This window comes from Homo sapiens, chromosome 11 (assembly GCF_000001405.40).
Source record: "Homo sapiens chromosome 11, GRCh38.p14 Primary Assembly".
NCBI lineage: Eukaryota > Metazoa > Chordata > Mammalia > Primates > Hominidae > Homo > Homo sapiens.
Genome location: NC_000011.10, coordinates 11091936 through 11105161, shown reverse-complemented (window position 1 = coordinate 11105161; position 13226 = coordinate 11091936). Strand labels below are relative to the sequence as shown.

The 13226-nt window shown below is 40.7% G+C and overlaps 1 annotated feature.

The window, feature by feature from the left end:
• Positions 8563-9064: an enhancer, noted in NCBI's record as "OCT4 hESC enhancer chr11:11117645-11118146 (GRCh37/hg19 assembly coordinates)". NCBI's record gives its function as "activates a minimal SCP1, AML or CMV promoter by ChIP-STARR-seq in naive H9 embryonic stem cells {active_cell/tissue: H9 hESC(naive)}" and the evidence as "EXISTENCE:reporter gene assay evidence [ECO:0000049][PMID:30033119]".

The window sequence follows — 13226 nt, the reverse complement described above, 5'->3', positions numbered from 1 at the left end:
TCTTGCCCTTCACCCACTGTTCCTCCCTAAGCCCTCCTCCTGCAGCCCTTGCACTCATTTGGAGCTTATCAGGTCCTACCAATTTATTGGAAGTCCCTCAAGTGTGGCATGTTATTTCCTATCCCCAATAATTGCAAATTCTGTTTCTTCTACCAGGAATGTCTTCTGGTTAATTGCTACTTTTCCTGTAAAACTCAATTCTACTTTAATCTCCTCAGATTTTTTTTTTATCATCCTTCTAGCAATATGCCTTGGTACCCTTTCCATATACTATTACCAGTAATATCTGAAATAACTCTCAGTGCTTTCCATGTGTCTATGCTAAGTACCTAACCTGCTTAACCTCATTTAATCCTCATAATAACCCTCTGAAGAAAAGTTATTATTATCCCTCTTTTACAGTGGGGAAACTGAGGTTCAGAGACTTATAAAAAGTAACTTATAAAAAGTAAATCTCTGCTGGTATGTCTGTTTCTACCTGCTGCTCTTGGTAAAGGCAATGAGGTCTCTTCAGTCAGGGGCCGTGCCTTTCCTCTTTGTATACTCCCAGTGCAGACCACAGGGCCATGCATGTTAGCTTCCACAGTGAGCAAGAGTATCTACTCACCTCGGCTGCCATAATAAAATATCATAGACTGAGTGGCTCAAACAACAGAAATTTATTTCCTCACAGTTCTGGAGGCTGGAAAGTCTGTCCAAGATCAAAGTTTCAGTGGGATTTAGTTTCTGATGAGAGCTCTCTACCTAGGTCGCTGATGACCATCTTCTTGCTGTGTCCTCATGTGGCAAAAACAGATAGATCTCTGGTGTCTCTTCCTCTTCCATAAAGACATCAGTTCTGTTACATCAAGGCCCCACCTTACAACCTCATTTAACTTTAATCACCTCCTTCAAGGTGCTGTCTCCAATACAGTCACAGGGTGGCTTAGGGCTTCAATGTGAATTTGAAGGGGATGCACATTCCATTTACAGCAATGAGCTACAACTGCTCCACTGTTTCAGGGACTCTGAGGCACAAATCTGCCAGGAGTGGAGGAGTATCTTAGATCTTCTAAGGTATTGGAAGTACCTGGGACGATCCAGGAAAACATCACAGAGAAGGGGTATTGATGGACACTTAGACTATTGAAGGAAGCTAAAATACTTTACCCCAAAATATACTTCTTTGACATATTTCAAGATGCGTTATTCAGAAATGCTGGAAACACAGAATAGCTAAAAAGCTGCCTTTCATGGAGATTTGTCTGCTTTTCACATATATAAGCATTGGACCCTGGAAACTGCAAATGCTGTGTTGGCAGTATTTGTTAATGGGCTCCATCCTGAGCTCAGTGTTCCACCTGGAAAACAGACTAAATTAGAAGCTACCTATCTAAATGAAATTGGCCTGCTTATAAAATACTGTGGTGAATCCCTACAATGCTATGTTACCTTGGTTATCTATTTATCTTCCTCTAACATAACCAAACTCCTTCTTTAGAAAGCCTATGCTCTCTGTGCTTTGAAGTGTAAATTTGCTACCCTGTTTTCTCTAAAACTCCGTAAAGGCTTTGGCCACGTGGGACAGATAAACTTTAACCTGTTCCATTTACAGATTGACAGTTTAATCCAACCACCCTTTTAAACTCATGAGTTTTACCTGTCATATGACTAAAATTTTTCAATCAAAACTATACAAAAATTTTGCCTATCATTTGAAGTATACACGTGTTCATGTCTGTGTTTATATAGTGTCTACATGGTACCAAAATGACTTGGAAACAATTTAGTATTCATAAATTACATAAATAAGCCCATATGCTTTTCAAGTTGATGTGACTTTAGTAATTTTTGGTAAGTAAAGTTAGCTGTAAAATTGTTGGTAAAATAAAATAAGAATGTCTTCAGAATTGTCAGTATTAACTACAAATCAAACATTTCATGTAGTACTAATAAAATATAGTATTTCATGTAGTATCAATATAGATTTTCATGTAACATTAATAAGATACAGTAAGAGATTTTCGTTTGAGTAAACTGAAAAAAAAGAGGGGGTGAGAGTGTACATCATGCTTTCTCTATCAGGTCTTTTGATTGTTCAGAAAAGCAATTCTCCTATCAAAGTCACCTATCATTTTTTCCTAGGTCTATTGGTTGGACAGATTTATGCTGTCTTTGCTAGATGTTTTAAGGATGTTTCAATTGTTTATTAAGCAATAAAACCATTGCTTCTGTAATACTTTTGATAATTGCTTAATTTGTCCATTAGCTTATGTCTTTGGTTTTGAGCAGTTAGATTCCAGGGTCTCTACAAGTAGTCATTGTGAGGCCTGGGGACATATGTGTGTACATAGTGCCTGGGCCACCAGCTGCAGGGCAGAGCCAGGCCTAATATCATCTCATTCTCCTGGCCTAGCTCTGTCTCCCAGCCAGGCTGAGAGAGGTCAGATCCTCCAGGCATTGTCTTCACAGCTGTCTTCTGTCCTGAGCTCTGTATCTGATACATAACAATTAAAATTGCTTACTTCCTAGGTTTTTCACTGAAAGTTAGGGTTACTAAGAATTAAAATTGTAGTTAATATATTTAATTACAGCTACAAGATATAAGAGAAAGAATCCTATATACAAAGGAAACTAGGATGTGTTTTTGGTGAAGAAGTTTACAAGGAAGACATGAGAATGTGGTATTTTTTTCAAGGAAAAGTAATTTTGTCTAGTTTAGAGGTTATTTAAAATTTTTTTTAGTGTGAAGGAAAAACGCATGATAGATAAAACTGAATGAATATAGAAAGTTGAAGAAAGAAAGAGAATGGGAAAAATTATAAGAGGTTATAAAAGGCTTAGGAACTCTTTTGTGTGGTCAAAGCCGATAGAGATTAGACTGATCTGTTTTTAAGGTTTTATTAAAATTAGTTTTAGTATTAATAATACACTGATGCAAATGTAGAACTTTGTTTTCTCTTTTGAACTAGATTTTCATGTAGTATTAATAAAATATGGTAAAAGATTTTTGTTTACCTTTTGAGTAAACTGAAAAAAAGAAGTGGGGAGGGCGGTTGTACATCGTGCTATCTTTGTTAAGTCTTTTGATTGGAGAAGCAAGTCTCCTATCGAAGACTAAAGATACCTTTGCTTTTTAGAATCCATTAATTATAACTTTGGCTAAATAAATATTATTTTACAGTGACCCGTGATCTTATTTTGATTAAGTGTATTATACTTTTGGTATTTGACAGGCTTCCCAAAATCTAACCTCAAAATTCTAAGATTAAGTCTTTTTGACCTTGCACTACCTTCTTGATCTTCCAAAAAGGGCCCCTGTAAGTCCAAGAGAGGCATCAAGTTTATTTGGTTTGTTAAATCATTGTCAAATAGAAATAATGTTTATTTTTTAGTTATGTTTGTATAAACGTGTTATTAATGTCTTCTGAAATTGTATGAGATTCCTAAAAACCTGATGTGTCTTGATACATGTTATCAGACATATTATTATTATGTAAAATTGTCATAGGCCACAGAAAATAACCAAATTTCTTTGTTAATTCTGTCTTTATGACCATTTTAAATCTTGTCCATAGTAAATTGTTTTATGCTGATGCTTCCTCTAAAAGATCACTACAAGCAAGTATAATCCTAGGTTATGTCTTTAAGGAGGTTCTTGGAAAGGTTGAATAGATTCTGACAGGCACTTGAAATAGACCTTTGCTGGTGACTTTGACTGGGTAATAATTCCAAAACATTCAATGGAAAAAAAAATAACTGTACTAAAAAAATTTCTAACATAACAACAAACAGATTAAAAATCAATTACATGAGACTAAACTGATGGAGGACTAAAATAATTTTTATGACTTTTTTGTTTGAAACATTTCTGACTCTTTTTATGTGTTGTTTGTCGGCATCAATTTTTTTTTCTTCTTAGTTATCTATAGCTTTACAGCAATTGGGTAAAATACACTTTTCTGAGCAAAATTAAAGGATTTACCTTTCTCTCTACCTGGTTTCTCAAGAATTCTGAGTACTCTTATTTTATGGCAATATAGTTATTTGCATGAGTTCAATAAGAATCTGTGCTTTGGGTTTTTTGTTTTGTTGTTGGGTTTTTTGGTAACAGGACACAGTTGGAAACAATGACTATTTTACCAAGGCTTTGATTGTGAGATCATATTTTCATATATGACCAGACTGCTTTGAGGAATTGAAGTTAACTTTTATAGAGCTGATAAAAGCCCCATGGACAAACTAACCTGATGCCATGTCTACACAGTCTTTCCAGGGTTGCTGACCTTTCAGTAAGTAAAGAATGTCACTTTCTGACAGGCCCAGAAACCTCAAGATATTTTAGGGACCTCAAGAAAAGAAGAATTCACCCAGTTTATATTGGTATTACAGATAGTTTTTGTCTTGGCTCCTAAGCCTCAAGAAATTTTTAAAAGTCTAATCCAGATTTTCTTGCAAGAATGTTCTAGCAAAGCCAACTCAAAAGAGCCTATATAGCCAAACACTTTTCTTGCTGTACTTTATCCAAATAATCAGGCCAAATATAATAAACCTGAAACTTACTTTGCAAATAAATTAGTTTTACTATAATTCATCTTGGTCGAAATGGGGGACTGGAGAGAGAAAAGCTATGTTTCAGAAGAAAACTATAGTACACATGTTATTATACTGCAAGTCTAACCATTGTTTTTGAGTTTTTGTTATCTGGCTACAATTTTGACTGACTCCTGAATTCGTACCTAGGTTTAAGTCTCCAAACCAACATTTCCAACTTTCTCCTGCTCTTCTGACTTAAAATCACTAGAAATTAAAACTGTGCTTTTCTTGAAGCCCTGCTAACTGAATCTAGACAACTTGATATAAACTTTAAGTTAAACCACTACAGCAACTTATATATAAACAGCCTTCATGCTTGTTGATGTATGGACTACTCAGGGAACTCACTGGATCACCCAATTAGAACTACAATCCAGGAAAATCTGTCAGGTTGCCACTGCAATCTGCAATGCTTCAGAGATCTAGGAAAATTAGTTTATAGAATACTTCCAACATTAACCTTTGTTTTTCTCCTGTTTCCACACAAATGCCTTTTCTTAAAGATCTTCATGTCTACCTCAGATGTAGAAGCCTGGCTCTGAAAGCCCATCTGCAATGCCACATTCTGAAATAAGATGCAACTGTTCAACTGAGCTGACCTATTCTCAGGACTAGGAGACTGATTTAAGAAGATATGATATGATACGCATAAATTTGGTCTTCTCTGCTTATCCTAATCTCTATTTTTTCTTCCCCTTTGCCTATCTCTTATCTCAAAAATTCTAACCCAAATTTCTTCAAAGCTATCAACTTGGCTTTTAATATGTGAAACTTTCTGAAAGTAAAGTTTCAAAGGAGGTGCTAAACGGAAGAAACTAAAATATTTTACCCCAAAATACACTTCTTTGACATATTTCAAGATGGCTTATTCAGAAGGGCTACAAACACAAGAATAACTAAAAAGCTGCCTTTCGTGGGCGAGATTTGCATCTTTAAAGGAAATAAAGTAAACAACAGATGCAAATAAGCTTTCTCTGAAACTCTTCCTTATCTGAATCTAGGAAAGATTAACTGAGACTTTGACACCCTTAAAGCTCTGACAGAAACATCTACCACTGGCTACCATCATTCCTTCTGAGGGCTGCTACCTGTGAGGTTTCATCTGTATAACAAGACCACTTTTGCTAGCCAGGCCTCCTCTTCTCTCCCTCTTACAATCTCTTTTGCCATGCTCCAATCCCCAATTCTTTCTGTAACCTCAAGATAGCATAAAAGCATCAACCATTTGGCCATTTCTTTGAGTCTTTATATTGGTATGACTCTCACACACAAATGTGCACATAACAAAACTTGTATGCCTTTTTTCCTATTTATCTATTATCAGTGTGTTTTATAAACTAAAATTGTCAAAACTTCAGGGGGAAAATTTAAACTTCCATACACTATATATAAGTTGAAAAGATGGCAAAGTCCATTTCTGAGAGGAGGAAAAAGCAGGGATAAGGTGGGACAATGTCACAGAGTATTCAGGCAGGCTTCAGCTTAGCTATCAGACAGGATCCTAGTCATGAAGGATCTTGAAGGCTCTGTCTGAAATCACTGATTTTATATGATAGGTCAAAGACTACATAGCTTTTTACCTTCTCCATCAGCTTTTATCAGTTGGTTGGGGTTGCCTGGAACACTAAGTTGAGGATTCTGAGGCTGCATCTGAGTTCATCAGAAAGACGGCAGTAATAGATTAGTGATGTCTGTCCTGGCACTGAATACACGGGAATAAGAGTGGCAGCAAGAATGCTGTGGATTTGCCACCTCTGCTAGAGATCCTGCCCTCCAGGTGTGCCCCTGGTACTTCTAGGAGAGCTCAGACTCATGTGGACCTGTAAATATATCCCCTACTGTTACCATGTAGTGTGTCCACCATGCTCTTCCTTTCCTGCCCTGCTTTCCCTGATTGAGCTCATGGTCTGAAAAGCTGCTTAGAGGAGGCTTGGTTTTGCCCATGTTGAGGGTGCACTTTATGAAACTGCCTTAACCAGGCCAGGGTGTCATTTCCCAATGCACCCAGAATACTCCTGGGAGCCAGAACAGTGCTGAGTTCCACGCAGAGTTGGAGAGAATGGAATATGACAAAACTGTATTTGCCTTTCCCCCAAGACTCCAAAGCAGTTCTACTTATGCCCATAGCTCACCAAATTATCTCCTAAAACTTGGTCAGTTCTTTCAGCTTCCAACCTTCACCTTCCTAACCTTAGGGACTCAGACACTCTCCAAAGGGTTAGGTAGAGAACAAAAGTCATATTATCTGTTGTCCTTGTCTCCATTCTTCCCGTGGTCCCTGACCTCAGCTAAACTCTCCAACTTTCTCAATTATAAGACAAAAGTCTCCTTACATATTTAAAAAAAAAAAAAAAAAGGTCTGATATGGTTTGGCTGTGTCCTCACCCAAATCTCATCTTGAATTATAACTTCCACAATTCCCACCTGTCCTGGGAGGAACCTGGTGGGAGGTAATTGAATCATGAGGGAAGGTCTTTCCCATGCTACGCTTGTGATAGAGAATAAGTTTCATGAGATCTGATGGTTTTAAAAAGGGGAGTTTCCTTGCACAAGCTCTCTTCTCTTGCCTGCTGCCACGTGAGATGTGCCTTTTACCTTCTGCTGTGATTGTGAGGCCTCCCCAGCCACGTGGAACTGTAAGTCCAATAAACCTCTTTCTTTTGTAAATTGCCAAGTCCTGGGTATACCTTTATCAGCAGCATGAAAATGGACTAATACAAGGTCCTTGTGAGAAGATGGATATTGACTATACCCTAAGCCCTCATCTTCCATCAGAATGCTTTATTACAGGGGAATTAAATTAGAAAACACATGTAACACCTGTAAGTTTCTCCCTCAACTCTAACACCACTGGAGACACTGAGAGCATACTGATAGATAAAAATTTAATGAAACTTTATTATGCAAATGCACTGTGCTAAGTACTATGCATACCCTATCTTATTTATTCCTCACATTACATCTCGAGGAGGAGGGTAAATGTTGTGTTGTATGCTTTGGATTGTGATGATGCTTCTCGCATTCCTAGTGTTCATTTCCCTGTTGCCCTTTCTTAGGCAAGACTCTCTGAAAGGAAAAATGGAGTTTATATCTACACCTGAGCCAAGCTTTAAAAGGGAAACACCTCCCTACTTCTGAATGCCAAACAAAGGAAAGGGTTAGTAATTACTAGGCAGGAGGATGAAGGAAACTTTCAATACTAATCATTGATAGGGTTAGGCTTTGTGTCTCCACCCAAATCTCATCTTGAATTGTGATCCCCAGATGTTTAGAGAGAGACCTGATGGGAAGTGATTGGATTACAGGGGTGGCTTCCCCCATGCTGTTCTCATGATAGTGAGTGAATTCTCACAAGATCTGATGTTTTACAAATGGTAGTTTTTCCTGTACTGACACATACATGCTCTCTTACCTGCTGCCATGTAAGATGGGCTGCTTTCCCCTCTGCCATGATTGTAAGTTTCCTGAGGCCTCTCCAGCCATGCAAAACTGGGAGTCAATTAAACGTCTTCCCTTTGTTTTATAAATTACCCAGTCTTGGGTAATCTTTACAGCAGTGTGAAAACGAACTAATACAATGATATTAACTAGCATATATTGTACCATTATTTATGCTCTAAGAACTTTACACATATTTAATCTGCACTGTTATGCTATGAGATAAATGTTATTGAAGATTAGAGAACTAGGACAGAGAGTGGTTAAACAACTTGCCCAAGGTCAAACAGCTGGTAAGTGGTGGAGGCAAAATTCAAACACAGACAGTCGAATTCCAGCCTACACAGACTCCGGGCCACTAGATGAAGCTGCCTCCTCCAAGAAGGTGAAGTTCAAGGCAACCAGGTCACATCTGGTGGTCAGGCATCCTTGCAAGTTTAATACTCTTTCTTGAGACCAGCTTCAGTGTTCTGTTGTAACAAGTAAAGCCCTCCTGTGTGCAGCTCTCTCTCTCTTAGCACTTGCCAACTGCCTTGGACACATCGTAGGGCATCTGCTGGTCATAAATACCATGGAAAAACAAATTGAAATACAATTGCCTTGACACTGGGCAGGAGAGGGAGAAGTCAAGGCATTGTCATGGACATCTGTCCTGTTGAAATTTTCATATTTCTGTTGTCAAAGTGAGTCAACCAGACCCTCTGCAAAGAATGAAATTAATGGACCCAAATCAAAGTGAAGATTTGGTATTCTTGTCAGAGCCCATTAAAGTGACCAGTTCGGGTGGCAGCAGGTGGTGGCATTATCATGCAATTTCCGCAGTCAATTTTGAAGACTCTCTCTCTCTCTTGCTGTAGCATGTGCATGCATATGAACACACACACACACAAAAGCCTCAAGGCACAAGGGATTTGGTTGGCCTCAAGGTTCAGTCTAAGGCAAATCAAGCAGGATTTCCCACAGGATCTCCTGTCAAACATTAGTGTTGAGGAAGGTTAATAGGCTTGTGGTTAACACAGGGTCCCAGGCTTTAATCATGTTGGGAATGCTGGATTAAGCAAAGTTAGTTGTGTTCCACAGAACTCCTCAGAGCCTTGAATATATTCATGTACACTACAAGTCTCCCAGAGGAGGATAGAGTATGCAGAATTAACCAAACTCCCTTGCCTGCTGGTGTTGCATGGAACATATTGAAGAGACTGCTTTTCTATAGCATGAGTCCTGGTCTTTCTCTCACCTCAAAGCTCCAGGTGCTGAGGCCTTTCCCTGCACATTCTTCCCAGCCCAGTTCTGCAGCCAACTTGACCAGGGCAGGAAGACATTAGCAATCTCAGCCTCACCAACTGGGGAGCCTCAAGAAGGTCATATAGACAAAGAAGCAACACTCCAACTCCCAGGTGCCAATTGAGCACAACCTGCTCTTGCTTCCAACCCACTTCCTTGCCATGGGGTGGCTCAGTCCATGTATCTAGGCCTCTTCTGTCCAGTTTTCCTGCCCAGCAGTTGATTTCTATCCTGGGTCTGAACTCTCTGTCTTGAACCCCACTCCACTTGGTATGCCTCTTTCTTGTCACCCCTCCCCATGGGCTGTTCTTGGTTCCCAGATGTCCTGTTCCTTCCTGGGAGCCTCCTGCAGCTGAAATGTACACTGGAAATACTCCTGCCCCTCCCCCTGCATGACTACATAAATCATCTATCACTTGGGCAATCCTACCTCACTACCAAGTGGCCCTGGCATGGGTGTCTCTTGTGTATGACAAGCTCCTTGGCTCTTGGACAAAACAGTACCCACTATCTCCACCAGCACCAGACTCACAGCCAGGCCATTTGCTAGTCCTCAAGCCTAACTAGTGCTTGTTGCCCATCAATCCCCAAAGGTCTCTGTTGTTGATGTTCTGGCATGGTCAATGGCCAAGCCCTTCTCAAGTTGTGAATAAGAGCTTGGCAATTTCAGACAACATCCCCAACATCCCATGCATTAGTAAGACATGCAGCTGAGGTTTTAGGCTCAAGACTAACACATAAGTGGTGAAAAGTCTGGGGCTTCCATTGGGTGTGGTGCTGGTTGAGTGGCGTGAAGGTGATTTTGATGGTTTAGATTTTGGGAACAGGACAGTTATATTAGATCAATATTCCCAGGCATTTGGATTTCATGGACAATTACAATTTCAAAAATACTCTCTGGGAGAGTTTATAATATTGGCAACCAAGGTGCAATAAAAAAGTAATAATCTGTTAGTACCATCATTTCACACAACAAGTTGTACCTAAATGTGAAAAAACACAGGGAAGATAATCTCGGCATTGAAAATGAGTTCTATGGAAAATTTTCCCACTTTCTCTATTTTACTGGGGTCCAGTAGAAATTGGCCTTGGATCAGCCCCAGCCTGAGGACTGAAATTTTAGAGCCACGGCTCCAGAAGGTCTCTGAGGTCTCCTCAGAGGTTCTGTTCATCTAGTTGACTTCTCCTCACTGCCTGGCAATCAGTTACATATCTGAGAGTTCCGATTATTGGATGGCACTTTCCTTTATGAAAGCAAGTCTACCTGCCTGCAACTCCCACACCTTGGTCTTGGTTCTGCCTTGACCCTCCCTTTGGACATTTAAAGCCTGTGCCAAAGGCCTTCCTTAGGTGACACCCCTCCCTGTTTGCTCCCCCAGATTTAAGAGCGGACTTTCTGAAGAAGGCCTCCCAAAGAGAAAGGGAGAGGTCTGAGCCTTGGGGAGGGCTCTACTGGCCTTCCTTCCTCCCAAACCTTCATTCAACGACTCAATGGCATAGAGCAGGGAGATGCCCAAACAGAAAGCAAGAGACCAGAGAACCATGGGAGGTGGGACTCCTGAGGAGGTGGCACCCTGTGCCTTGTGTGACATGAGAAAGTTTTGGTGAGACATCATGGACTGGACCCCTCCCAGCAGAGTACACTGTCCTGTCACCTCCAAACCCAGGGCAGTTCCAGGGGTGGTTGCTTGGGGTGGTCATTGGAGCATGGAAGGGGACATGCCTTTGAGAACCCAGCTGTGCCCTCTTCTCATAGAGGAGAGAAGCAAAGTAACCCCACATCCAGGGAGCATCTGTCTCGGGACACACCTGTCTGTGGGCTATGTGTTAACTGCTCTTGAAGGATATGGCAGACCCATGCAGAGAGGCTGGCCCTACTCTCAGCTGCTCTCTGAATCAGGGCAGCTCATGCCTGCAGGCAAGCCACAGTCTCCCATCTGGAGAAAAGAAGTTGACAGTTTTTGTGAGGCCCCAAAACACGAGTGATCTTCATTCCCATTTACTGAATGTTAATTTGTTTGATCGTAAAATTTCTCAGTGGCTTCCCATTGTTTTTGAGATTTAAAAGCCATGTTTTTTCACTTAGTCTTCAAGGCACTGTTAGCCTCATCTTGCATACTCTGCCCTGACTCACTAAGATCCAGCCACACTGACTCTTCCAGTTCCTCAACTGTACCCTGACCTTTACACATATGCTGTCCCCTCTCTCTGGACCACTCTCCCCGTATGCCCCCTTTACCTCCTCAAACCTTACTCAGCTTTACTTTAGATCTCAGCTAAAATGCCCCTTCCCTGGGAGACTTCTCTGAACTCCTCAGTCTGGAGATGTATCATCAAATACCACAGCCACTACCACGTGGCTACCGAGCACTGGAAAGGTGGCCAGTCCAATTGAGATGCCCTGTAAGTGTCAAGTATACCCTAGATTTTTGAAAACTTAGTAAAATGTAATAATACACAATATCTCATTGATAATTTTTAATACTGATTACATGTTGAAATGATATTTTAGATATACTGGGTAAATATATTAAAATTAATTTCACTTTTTTTTTTTTACTTTTGCTAGTGTGGCTACCAGAAATTATTAAATGACATATGTGGTTCCCCACATCTGTGGCTCATGTTCTATTTCTTTCTTTTTTTTTTTTTTTTTTTTTTTGAGACTGAGTCTCACTCTGTCACCAGGCTGGAGTCCAGTATCACGATCTCGGCTCACTGCAACCTCCACCTCCCAGGTTCAAGCAATTCTCCTGCCTCAGCCTCCCGAGTAGCTGGGACTACAGGAGCACACCACCGTGCCCAGCTAATTTTTTGTATTTTTTTTTTAGTAGAGATGGGGTTTGACCATGTTGGCCAGGATGGTCTTGATCTCTTGACCTCGTGATCCAGCTGCCTTGGCCTCCCAAAGTGCTGGGATTACAGGTGTGAGCCACCGCACCTGGCCTCATGGTCCATTTCCTTTTTTTTTTTTTTTTTTTTTTTTTCAGATGGAGTCTCACTCTGTCACCCAGGCTGGGGTGCAGTGGCGTGATCTCAGCTCACTGCAAGCTCCTACTCCTGGGTTCACACCATTCTACTGCCTCAGCCTCCCGAATAGCTGGGACTACAGGCACCCACCACCATGCCTGGCTAATTTTTTTGTATTTTTAGTAGAGACGGGGTTTCACCATGTTAGCCAGGACTCATGTTCTATTTCTATGGGATAATGCTGGGGCACATTGCCCTGGTGTGTGCCTAGACAGAACTTTATGTTTTTCTTCCTAATCTTTACTACACTTTAGAATTATTCATTCCCACTGAAATATAAACTAGGTGAGGACGGAGACCATGTTTTTTCAGTTTCCCACTGTGTCCTTAGCTGTTAACACAGTCCTTGGCACACAGTAGGAATAAAATAGATATGTCAAATGCATTGATGAAATCTCTAACATGTTCCAAACACATTACATGCAGCATTTCCAAAAGGGTGTGCATGTGTGTGTGTATGTGTATGTGGCTAGGGAGAACAAAACTTGTTTGCTGTTGAGATCTTATAGAGAAGATCTTATAGAGAACGACAGAATAGTTTTGGATGAGGCTGGGTGAGAGGCCTCTGTGTGGCACCCCTCACCCCTCACAGCCATCCTGAAGCACCTATGAAACCTTAGAGTCCCTGAATAGACTATACAAAAACCACTGTGTTGCCTTACCCATGCCCCTCAACAGTTCAGTGAGAAATTATGGCAGAGGGCAGAAACATGACTTGTAGCCAGTGTGTGATGGAGTCAAGTAGGTGTCAATTGAATAGCAAATCCCAGCTGAGTCCTCCCAAGGCACTAAAGAACCTCACTGTGTAGAGCAGAGGAGGTTCCTCAGGATACTCAGTTACCTACCTCCAGAGCAGCAAGCTGGAGGCTTTGTGACTGTGAACAGCCCTACTCTGCTCA